Source organism: Homo sapiens, chromosome 15 (assembly GCF_000001405.40).
Source record: "Homo sapiens chromosome 15, GRCh38.p14 Primary Assembly".
In the NCBI taxonomy this organism is placed as follows: domain Eukaryota; kingdom Metazoa; phylum Chordata; class Mammalia; order Primates; family Hominidae; genus Homo; species Homo sapiens.
In genome coordinates this window covers 65,668,306-65,680,945 of record NC_000015.10, presented here as the reverse complement: position 1 = coordinate 65,680,945, position 12,640 = coordinate 65,668,306, and the positions used below count along the sequence as shown (strand labels likewise).

The following is a 12,640-nucleotide window of genomic DNA, read 5'->3' as shown; positions in this document are numbered from 1 at the left end:
AATATCCAGGCAAAACCCTCAACCAGCAAAAAGATTACCACTTGCTGAAGGTTCACATAATTGTTAGCAATTTTTAGTAATAAGGTATTTTAAAATTTATGTGCATTTTTTAGACATAATGCTGTTGTACAGTAGACTTCAGTGTAATGTGAACAACTTTTATATGCACTGGGAAATAAATTTGTGGTTTGCTTTATTGCGACATTTGTTTTGTTGAGGTGGTCTGGAACTGAACCTGCCATACCTCCAAGGTAGGTCTGTACAGTGCCTTCATTGAAGGCACTAAATAAATGGTTATTGTTGCTATACTCAGTGAAATTTAGTCTCATTAATTTTTTTATGTATAAAGAATTTAATGTCTCTCAATGTAAAATCATTCTTTTTTATAATCTACTCAAACATGCATAATCTGTATTTTAATTAGAAAAATTCAACTATTCGTCTTATTTTTTATACTAAGTAATTCTTGTATGCATAAACAGCAACAAGACTTCTGGTTCAGGATGTTAAAATACATATCTGTATTCCCTCCTCCTCAAAATCCCATTAAAGTGACAGAAAAATAGGAGAATATAATAAATCCATCAAAGCAATGAAAGAAGAAAAGTATGCCATCAGGAGATGAGAAATTTTCATACCTTTCTGAAAATGAGAAAGCAAATGAAACTGGATTGATGAAAATGCCTGAATACAGAAAGTATAGCCTCCAAAGTAGTCATAAGAGAGATCAGCTACCAAGATGAGAACTGTTCTTGTGAATGAAGCCCAGGTGAGCAGGCAGAAGTATAAAATTACACAGCCAGGTAATTAAATTAAAAGACTACTTAAGGAATAGTTAGGCTAGGCGTTGTTTTTCCTCTTGCAGGAGTAGTTGTGAAAATGAAATACTCCAGCTCACAAAGGTATGAAATCTGTAAGTACTAAGAGTGAAGGAGAGATACCAAGGACAGGCATTGAGATGAGAAAGAAAGTAGGGTTAAAAGTAATTCCAAAATTTCATTATTAGCCCAGAGTTTTTTTAAGGAAGCCCCACTCTACTTAAAATATACTGAAGTACCCACCAACCAAAGTAAAACCTTCCTTTGTTTGGTCGCCCTGTACATTCTCTTCCAATTACCCATCCAGGCACTCTAAAGGGTGGCCTGCTTACAGACATGCTAACATTGAGCTCTGTCATTCAAGGGAAGGTCTGAGTTCAAGACTAGCCTGGGTAACATGGCAAAACCCCATCTCTAGAAAAAAAAAAAATTAGCCAGGTGTGGTGGTGCATGCCTGTGGTCCCAGCTGCTTGGGAGGCTGAGGTGGGAAGATTGCTTGAGCTCTGGAGGTGGAGGTTGCAGTGAGCCGTGATTGTGCCACTGTCCTCCAGCCTGGATGACAGAGCAAAACCCTACCTCAAAAAAATGTTTTTAATATCATAAAAAATAAAATGAAAAAAAGATGAAATAGAAGAACATTTAGTTAACTTGATAGAGTATCAAAAAACTATAGCAAACACCATTCCTAACTGAAATATTATAATTATTTCTTTTAAAGTGAGGATCGGGCCAGGTGTGGTGGCTCACACCTGTAATCCCAGCACTTTGGGAGGCCGAGGCGGGCGGATCACAAGGTCAGGAGATGGAGACCATCCTGGCTAATATGGTGAAACCTCATCTCTACTAAAAATACAAAAAATTAGCTGGGCGTGGTGGCATGCACCTGTAGTCCCAGCTACCCGGGAGGCTGAGGCAGGAGAATCACTTGAACCTGGGAAGTGGAGGGCGGAGGTTGCAGTGAGCTGAGATGGGGCCACTGCACTCCAGCCCGGGTGACAGAGCTAGACTCTGTCTCAAAATAATAATAAAATCATAAAGTCAGGATCAAGGGAAGGAAGCATGCTGAACACCTGTGCCACCCAACAGCATTCTGGATTCTAACAATACCAGAAGGCAAGGAAAAGAAGTAAGAGATAAAGCCCAGGCATGGTGGCTCATCTTGTAATCCCAGCACTTTGGGAGGCCAAGGCAGGCATATCACTTGAGTCTAGGAGTTCAAGACCAGCCTGGGCAACATGGTGAAACCCTGTCTCTACTAAAAATACAAAAAATTAGCCAGTCATGGTGGTGTGCACCTGTAGTCCCAGCTACTTGGAAGGCTGAAGTGGGAGGATCACCTGAGCCTGAGGAGTCGAGGCTGCTATGAGCTGTGATCACATCACTGCACTCCAGCCTGGGTGACACAGTGAAACTGTCTCAAAACAAAAAATGATAGATAAAAATGTTGTAAAAGAATTTAATAAAACTTGATATTCTCATAAATGAGGTTATCTACTACCACTGAAAAACTGTTTGAACTGGTAAGGTGGCTAGAAACAACAAACATTTGTAAAACAGCTTTCCTGGATATGACAATAGCCAGTTAGAAAAGTAATGGAAAAATATGAGCTAATTCACTAGAACACAAACATGAAATGTCTAGAAGTAAACTTCAGTGTATAATACCTACATGAATAAAACTATAATACTTTACTGAAGGACATAATTTACTGATGGATTCAGTCTTGTAAAGGTATCAGTTCTAACCAAATTAGTCAGGGTAGTCTAATTAAAATACAAGAAAAAAAAGGCAAACCAAATACCTGGTGACTAAATAATACAAATCATAATTAGCTGCTTTAAAATTGATAGAGAAGATACATGAGAATAATCAAGAAAATTTTGAAAAAGAAAAGTATGAGGCCAGGTGCTGTGGCTCACGCCTGTAATCCCAACACTTCGGGAGGCCGAGGCGGGCAGATCACTTAAGGTCAGGAATTCAAAACCAGCCTGGCCAACATGGTGAAACCCCGTCTCTACTACAAATACAAAAATTAGCCGGGCATGGTGGCGGGCGCCTGTAATCCCAGCTATTCGGGAGGCTGAGGCATGAGAATCACTTGAACCCAGGAGGCAGAGGTTGCACTGAGCCAAGATCATGCCACTGCACTCCAGCCTGGGCTTCAGACCAAAATTCTTTGAAAAAAAAAAAAAAAAAAAAGAGATAAGAGGCTGCACTCTAAAATACCAAAACTAACAAAACTAATGCTAAAACTATAATTAAAACAGTTTGCTAATCAATGCAAAACAGATAAATGGACCAGTGGAATGGAGAAAAGTCCAGAAATAAAACTGTATATGTACATAGAAGTTTGGGATATGAAAAAATAGCATTTAACATCAGTGGGAAATGAGAATATTAAATAAATGTGTTGGTACACTTAGGTATCCACTTGAGGAAAAGATTCCTGCCCTTCACTGAACAAAAAAAATAATAATCCTAGATGGATTAGATATTTAAGTGCACATTTAAAAAATTTTTTTCTCATTTAGGAGTGGAGAATTACTTCATTAGCAAGATACAGACCTTGGAACCCATAAAGGATGAAAATATTTTACTATGTAAAAATGTTAAAGCCCGGCCAGGCACGGTGGCTCAGGCGTGTAATTCCAGCACTTTGGGAGGCCAAGGCAGGTGGATCACTTGAGGTCAGGAGTAAAGACTAGCCTGGCCAGCATAGCGAAACCCTGTCTCTACCAACAATACAAAAATTAGCCAGGCACGGTGGTGCACACCTGTAATCCCAGCCACTCGGGAGGCTGAGAAAGGAGGATTGCTTGAGCCTGGGAGGCAGAGGCTGCAGTGAGCTGAGATTGCCCACTGTACTCCAGCCTGGAAAGCAGAGTGGACCCTGTCTCAAAAAAAAATTTTTGCCCTATATGATTAAAAATAACAATATGCACACACATAACATTTTTATGTAGTAAAATATTTTCATCCTTTATGGGTTCCAAGGTGGAATTACAGGTATTAAATTTTTTTCGTGTAAAAATCTACAGCTACCAGATTTTCTCATGTATTTTTAATATAATCAGAAAAAGATTTAACTTCAGTGTTCTCAAAAATGAAAAGTAGAAATATATATGTCTTTGAAACCTTGGATATTGTGGAAAAGAATAAAACGTAATTCTAGTGGTTTCATGTTTGGGTGATACCTTGTCAGAGAGGAAAATTATCAATAAATGGAAATTAAAAGTCAACGAGGTTACCTTACTAACTAGTATATACTTTGCTGTAACTAAAAAATGATTTCCTAAAAATTGAACTGCAGCACATTTGTCCAAATTAGCATGCCTTTGTAAAATTGCTTGTTTTTTTCTCTAGATGTTGTAATATTAGTTCAGCTGATCATCTGGGTAGTTAGGTGATAAGTGTTTTTTCTGCCTTAGAAGTGACTTTTTAATTAATTACCTTTAAATGTACAAGAAATTAAGCTTATAATTATGTCCTTAGGATCAAAGTTCTGATCGTACCAGTCTTTCTTCAGTGGGAGCCCAGGATTCTGAATCTACCTCTTTAACAGATGAAGATGTCTGCCATGAGTTGGAAGGACCTATCTCCTCTCAAGAGACCAGTGCTACTTCAGGGACTAAGAGAATTGATCTCAGCCGAATAAGCCTGGAAAGTTCTGCATCCTTGGAAGGTTTGTCCAAACAGTTCTGTCATACTGCATTTGATTTGTAGTTTCATTTGAATTGTGACACTTTCACTTTTTTCTTTATGATTTAATGTTGTTTTTTAATTTTGTAAACAATTTGTATAGTTCCAAAGTCAAAACAATAAAACCAAGGCACTTTCACAAAAGTATAACTTTCATCCCCACTCCCTCATCCTGTTTTCTCCCTATCCCTAGAAGCAACCATTTTTATTCATTTTTGGTTTATCCTTCCATCGTTGCTTTTTTAAAAATATAGGTATAGGTATATATATATATATATATATATATTTTTCCTTATTACTTCCCTGTCTTCTTACTCAAAGGTAACATACTGTCAATAGTTTCCTACCCCTTGATTTTTTCACTTAATATACTCTGAAGATCATTCTATATCATCCCATAGCAATGTTCCCCATTCATTTTTTCAGCTATATAGTACAAAATTATAGTTATACATCATGTGTGGATGTATTATAATTTATTTTAGCGACTTCCCTATTAATGGATGTCAAGTTTCCAGTTTTTCTAATGCTATAATGCATATATGTTATATTTTTACCAGTGTGTCTTTGGAAGATACTTCAGAATTCTTCCTTGAAGTGCTATTGCCAAGTTCCCTTCCTCAGGTTATTTTGCATTCCCACTGCCAGTATATGAGAATACCTATTTCCCCACAGCCTTGTCAACAAACTATGTTGGCACACTTGGATTTTTACCATCTGATAGGTGAGGAATGTATTTCAGTCAGTTTTCATTTCTATTTCTCTTATAAATGAAGTTGAGAATCTGTTTAAGGACCATTTGCATTTCTTCTTCTGTGGACTGTCCTTTGCCTACAGTTTAATTGTTGGTCCTTTTTTTTTTTAATGTTTTTAGTAGCTTTTTTTATATTGGGGAGTTAATCCTTTGTTGCTTATATAAGTTGCAAGTAGTTTATCTAAGTTTGTTTTTTGGGGGTGTTTTTTTTGCCATATGTAAGTTTTAAATTCTATATCATCAAATGTATCAGTCTTTCCCCTTATTGCTTCTGGATTGTGAGTTGCTAGAAAAGGTTTTTCTTTCCTTAAGATGTAAAAGAATCCACCAGTGTTTTCTTCTGATACTTATCTGGTTTCCTTCTTAATATTTTCTGGGGCCAGCAGACTTTTTGTGTAAAGCATTATGTAGTAAATATTTTAGGTTTTGCAGGCCACATACACCTCTGTCACATATTCTTTTTTGTTTGTTTCTTTAACAGCTTTTTTAAATGTAAAAGACACTCTTAGCTCAGGGCCATACAAATATGGATTTTACCTCTGATTTAGATATTTGATCCATAGAAAGTTATCCTGGTTAATGGTATGAAGAATGGATGTAATAGAAGATTTGTTTTTCACTTTATCTTTGCTCTTTTAAAAAGCTTTTATTATGGAAATTTTCAAACATGCAAAAGTATAAGGAATAGCATTATGAACCCCCATGTATCCATCACCAACTTCAATAATTATCAACCAATAACCAATCTTACTTTATCTGTTCCTTTCTCCTTTGCTGCCAACGTTTTCTCCTTCCTCAATGAGTTATTTCAAGCAAATCTCAGACAATGTATAATTTTATTCATAAACTTCAATATGTATCTCTAAAGTAAGAGACTTTTATGTTATCTATTTTAAACTATTTAAGTGTAACATATAATGTGTCTTTTTTTTTTTTTTTTAAGATAGGGTCTCACTCTGTTGCTCAGGCTGGAGTACAGTGGCACAGTCATGGCTCACTGCAACCATGATCTCCCATGCTCAAGCCTCAGCATCCCAAGTAGCTGGGACTACAGGCGTGCACCAGCACACCCGGCTATTTTTTTGTAGAGATGGGATCTCACAGGCTGGTCTCAAACTCCTGGGCTCAAGTGATCCTCCAGCATTGGCTTCCCAAAGTGCTGGGATTACAGGCTTGAGCCACCACACTCAGCTATACTTTTATGAATGTCAATACGTTCACAAATTCAGCACACCTGAGTAATCAGCACTCAGCTCAAGAAACAACATTCATAGCATCTAGAACCCTCTCTCGTGCCCATGTCTAGTCACTTCTTTCTTTACAGGTAAACATTAACTTCTAACACCATAGATTAACTCGGCTATTTTTGAACACTTTATGGGCTCAAATAGTATGTATCTTTTATGAAGTGTTTTTTTGAAAACATAAATCATAATACCATCATACTTTTAAGTGATATTTATCATATATATCAAATATTTAGTTTCAAATTTTCATGGTTATAAAACTCATTTTATAGATGGTTTTTTCACATTGGGGTCCATACAGGGCCAGCATTTGCATTTGGCTGATATGTCTATTAACTCTTTTTTGTCTTTATTCCCCTTCCTCTCCCTCTTTTTTTCCCCCTTGCTGTATATTTATGAAGAAATTAGGTGATTAGCCCCACTCCCTTCTTTTCTTTTTTAACATACAAGAACAGTTCATTGTCTAAGCAAATAACACTAAACTTACAGCCTGATTCATATTTATTAAAATGAATATTCTATACTGTAGATTAGTTAGATACAAAAGGTAGGCTGCTCAAATAAATGATACTCAAGGCTAATAGAAAGTTTGGGGAAGCAATTTTGAACTAGCTGTAGCAGAGGGATTACAGAAGGTTTTTGGGAAGAAGCATCAAGGGAAGAACTGCATTTACCACCAGTGCTAAGCATCTTAAAGGACAGTGAGATTTCAGCTCGTTTTCTGCCTCTCTAGGGTGTCTCTACATGGTAGGGAGTAGGACCAGTGATAGTTCTGGACCTTTTTTTTTTTTTTTTTCCTCCTTGTTATTTATTTGCTAAGCAATCAAGTCTTTAGTCTGGATCATGCTGATTGTATCCCGGTGGTGGTGTTTAACATGTTTTCCCATCCCCTCTTATTTCTCATGGACTGGTAGTTTACACCATTTTTTTTTTTTAACCTTTGTTTATCATTTATTTTGAGACAGTCTCACTCTATCACTCAGGCTGGAGTGCAGTGGCAGAGTCATAGCTCACTGCAGCTTCCTCCTCCTGGGTTCAGGTGATCATCCCACCTCAGCTTCCCAGGTAGCTGGGACTACAGGCACACAGTAACATGCCTGGCTACTTTTTTTGTATTTTTTGTAGAAACAGGGTTTTCACCATTTTGCCCAGGCTGGTCTCAAACTCCTGATCCACCTGCCTCAGCCTCCCAAAGTGCTGGGATTACAGGCGTGGGCCACCATGCCTGGCCTTTTGATCTTTATCTTTATAAAAATACCAGTCCTCGGCTGGGCACGGTGGCTCACGCCTGTAATCCCAGCACTTTGGGAGGCTGAGGTGGACAGATAATGAGGGTCAAGAGATCGAGACCATCCTGGCCAACATGGTGAAACCCCATCTGTACTAAAACTACAAAAAATTAGCTGGGTGTGGTGGCATGCGCATGTAGTCCCAGCTACTCGGGAGGCTGAGGCAGGAGAATTGCTTGAACCCAGGAGGCGGAGGTTGCAGTTAGCCGAGATCAGGCTACTGCACTCCAGCCTGGCAACAGTGAGATCTGTCTCAAAAAAAAAAAAATACCAGTACTCATTCATAAAATGTAGTAATGACAGAGAAAAACATGTGTTGAGAAGGTATAACATAGATCACCTCCAGTTTTACTGACAAGATACAATCACTGTCGACAACTGATTTGACCACAAAACTTCCCTTACTTTTTCGTTGTTATTGTTTTAATATTTACTAATATCCTATTGTTCTTAATAATATAATTGGGAATTCTTCTCAAGTATTTAAGAGCAAACAGCAAGATTAACCATCTTTTTTTTTTTTTTGGAGTCAGGATCTCATTCTGCTGCCCACGCTCTCATTGTAACCTCAAATTTCTGGACTCAAGAAATTTGGACTCCTACCCCAGTCTCCCAAGTAGCTGTGACTATAAGCACACACCACCACGTCCAGCTAATTCTTTATTTTTATTTTTTTGTAGAGACAAGGTCTCACTATGTTGCCAAGGCTGGTCTCGAATTCCTGGCCTGAAGCAATCCTCCCACTTCAGCCTCTCAACATGCTAGGATTACAGGCATGAGCCACCATGCCCAGCTATTCTAGTTCTTAAAAGACCCTTATAAGGAGAGAATTGCCACTAAATCTTTTTCATGATTTGAAATAAAAATGGGCTATTTTATACTTTTTAGACCTTGGAACTAAATACTTTCCTGTATTTTAAACATGAAAAAATAGAAACAGCACAATAATTACTAATGACTAGAATGTTTTCTAGTCTGTTCACATAAAGTGCTTTAGTAAGTCAGTAATGAGTGGACACACCTAAGATGTGGGGATGAGCAGAATTAGAGCACATTTCCTTAGGTTTGTGCTCAAAACTTCATGCCTTGAAAAAATCTTGTTCATTATTTATTTGTTTTTCCTAATTAGTTTTAATATTTTGACTGGAATAGGTTAACATTTTATCTGAGAACTTATGGAAGTAAAAGATTCTTATATCCTTTCTCATTAATTTTAATGGTTTCTGTTCTTTGTTTTTCACTAATGAACAGGATCTCTGTCGAAGTTTGCCTTACCTGGGAAATCAGAAGTGACATCTTCCTTCAACGCGAGTAATACAAATATCTTCCAGAACTATGCAATGGAGGTACACTTTTGTGCAAAAGAGAATCTTCATATACTGCTTTATAAAATGCACATTTCTTAAGTATTAGTGGTCCCAGGTAGAGTAATAGAAGTTAAATACATAGGCTGGGCGCGGTGGCTCACGCCTGTAATCCCAGCACTTTGGGAGGCCAACATGGGTGGATCACCTGAGGTCAGGGGTTCGAGGCCAGCCTGGCCAATATGGTGAAACCACGTCTCTACTAAAAATACAAAAATTACCCAGGCATGGTGGCAGGCACCTGTAATCGCAGCCACTAGGGAGGCTGAGGCAGGAGAATTACTTAAACCTGGGAGGCAGAGATTGCAGTGAGCCGAGATCACGCCACTGCACTCTAGCCTGGGCGACAGAGCAAGACTCCATCTCAAAAAAAGAGAAAAAATAATAAGTTAAATACATAGCACCTGAAATTTCAGAATGTGAATTGCATCTGAGTAAAGTTAAAATTTAGCTTTTGGATATCCAGTATTTCAGATTATTGAAGTCATACTAACTTATTTCTATTAGGACAGATCTATGCTTACTTTAAGGTTTATCAACCTACAAAAGCATTTTAATTTTCTTTGTTAGTATTTGGGTTTGTTTCATGAATGTTCTCTTTGAGTGTTTATTTCACATAATAAACACAATCAGTTTTGCTATGCAAGCATACTTTTTTGGTGAATGTACAGGGAGTAGTTTTGGCATTATGTTGTCAGTTTCTTCCACCATGTTTTTCATTCTTTGTGTCAGTTTGACGTAGGTCTCTGCTGGGTAAGCGTTTGTATCCCACATACTTAAAATGAAAAAGTTATACTTTTTCACTTTAAAACTTTTTCCTAATTTTTCTGTAAAAATTGCTTCCAAATACATTTGTGAGTATGGTTGCTATTTTATGTTAATTTGCATAAATCTGGAAAATAAATTTGCATACAGCCAAAACATAGATGATGAACACTAACTTTACAAAGTTTCTGGAGGCTTCAAGAATTTCTATATTTTCTTAACATAATGATAGCATTTATAGTTATCTATAGCAATGCTTATTAAACTGTCTTTTGTAAAAGACCAGGGTTGTTTTCATTTTGTTTGTTTAATTTCTAATCTGTCATAGCTAATATTCTTAGAAAATACATTGATTACACACTTAGATGTTACTGCAATATCACAGTACTTTAAAAAGTTTATAAATCCTCCTCTCAATTTCTTATTTATCTCATCACAATCCAGTAAGTGTTTGTAGACCAGTACTGGTCTGGCAACCACACTGATTTGTAATATGTAATTACAAATGCCTGTTTGGGGTATTAACAAATTAGTGATTGAGTTTACTTTTCCATTAATAAAACCACAGCACATTTTACTCTGATTTATAATGAAAAAAATCCTCACTTAAAAGCAAGTTTCCCTTTCAGGCAAAAATTCTGGAATGGATTTAGCTGAAGACGATTATAGTATATAATACACTGATGTAATCCAGTGTTTGTGTATAGCATCTGAATCCTTCTGGGTTTTAATTATCCAATGAATTTATGAATTGAAATGGTTTTTAATTCATAATCTGAATTAACCAGCTTTCTTTATAAAGTGCTATCTTCTCCCACAGGTTCTCATCTCAAGTTGCTCTCGGTGTAGAACTTGTGATTGTCTTGTCCATGATGAGGAAATCATGGCTGGCTGGACAGCAGATGATTCAAATCTCAATACTACATGCCCATTCTGTGGCAATATCTTCTTACCCTTTCTGAATATAGAAATAAGAGATTTAAGACGACCTGGAAGGTAATGATATTTTTTTCCTTCATGTTTAAGGATCATGTTCCCTATAATATCTCTTTTCTCAAAAAGTTCCTTCGATTCACATTACAGATACTTTCTAAAGTCAAGCCCATCAACAGAAAATATGCACTTTCCATCCTCCATTTCAAGTCAGACGAGGCAGTCTTGCATTTCAACATCAGCCTCTGGTCTTGACACATCTGCTCTCTCTGTTCAAGGGAATTTTGATCTAAATAGGTAATTATGATTATGTGGAACTATATTTTAACAACATATATTTACACATATTTTAGAAGTATGACAGAAAAATTAGTTGACCATTTCCAGGTTTAAATGTCTATGAATAACAGATTCATAATCTTAAATTCTTACTCTTAAAACAGTGTTAAAATTCTCTAATCACATAAATCTTTAAATATGTAGTTATATGTTATGCTTTATTAATCCCCAGAGTTTAAGCTGTATGTATATATGATAATGTTTACTAGTATTTTAAAGGTAAAAAAAATGTAGAACACTTGAGGTTTATAATGACTATCTTTTTTCTTGTCTCTATCTCTTCAGGAATTAAGTCAATACTACTACTTTTTAATATTTAATTTTCTACCTAGGGAATATTTAATAATCTAAGAAAACATTTGGAGCTGATATAGGAACTGCGAAATTAAACTAAAATTTATATAGTAAGCCTAATATAAGTAAATCTACACTTAAAACTGATGCAGAAATCAATTCCATTGTGCGGAAGTGCCAAATAAGCCATATATAGCTGGACAGATGAAGCCATATTGGTAGCTGCATGTGCCAAAAAATGCCTGTATAGTGTTGGCAGGCTAACGTGACCTGTGTGATCTTGATTACTTAATAAAACCAAAAATCTGTTTGTGCACCTTCTTTCATCACCGGTCTATTGTAGCCCTTATCTTTGTCTCCTGGGTTGTGACTCCTGAAGGAATATGTGCCTTTTTTCTCTGCTTTCTATCCCCATGGTCTAGTGTGCTTTCTGCTATATAGAAGTCTACTAAATGTTTTGAATAAATGAATGAATTTTGAATATTTACAGTTGATTTGATAAAAAAGGAAATTTATCATGACTATACTACTTAAAAATATATCCTGTTTCCCAGCTGAAGCCTGAGTAGCATTTCCTTTCATTCATGTTGCCATGTCTAGCTCTGATTCTTTTTTTTTTTTTGAGACAGAGTCTCACTCTGTTGCCCATACTGGAGTACAGTGGTGCAATCTTGGCTCACTGCAATCTTTGCCTCCCAGGTTCAAACAATGCTCCTGCCTCAGCCTCCCAAGTAGCTGGGATTACAGGCGCCTGCCATCACACCTGGCTAATTTTTCTATTTTTAGTAGAGACAGGGTTTCACCATGTTGGCCAAGCTGCTCTCGAACTCCTGACCTCAGGCAATCCACCCACCTCAGCCTCCCAAAGTGCTGGCATTACAGGTGTGAGCCACCTCGCCCGACCATCTAGCTCGGATTCTAAAGAGAAGAACATGGCCGGTAGTGGTGGCCCACACTTGTAATCCCAGCACTTTGGGAGGCCGAGGTGGGCAGATGGCTTGAGCCTGGGAGTTCGAGACCAGCCTGGACAACATGGCAAAACCCCATCTCTACTAAAAATACAAAAATTAGGCAGGCATGGTGGCGTGTGCCCGTAGTCCCAGCCACTCGGGAGGCTGAGGTGGGAGGATCGCTTGA

General features: G+C 37.3%; 1 protein-coding gene across 28 annotated transcripts in view; it reads left to right on the top strand.

Moving 5' to 3' along the window:
• The window catches only part of DENND4A (DENN domain containing 4A), a 133,171-nt gene that overhangs the window by 111,348 nt on the left and 9,183 nt on the right, over positions 1-12,640 (top strand). For 26 of the 28 annotated variants that reach the window (NM_001376920.1, XM_047432100.1, XM_047432097.1 and 23 more), the window contains 4 exons: positions 4,312-4,501; positions 9,060-9,154; positions 10,758-10,933; positions 11,021-11,167. In NM_001376920.1, coding sequence (NP_001363849.1) covers positions 4,312-4,501; positions 9,060-9,154; positions 10,758-10,933; positions 11,021-11,167 — 608 coding nt within the window. Of the gene's footprint in view, positions 1-552; positions 599-4,311; positions 4,502-9,059; positions 9,155-10,757; positions 10,934-11,020; positions 11,168-12,640 lie in introns of those variants that run through there. The other 2 variants (XM_047432106.1, XM_011521156.4) reach the window with 1 other exon arrangement.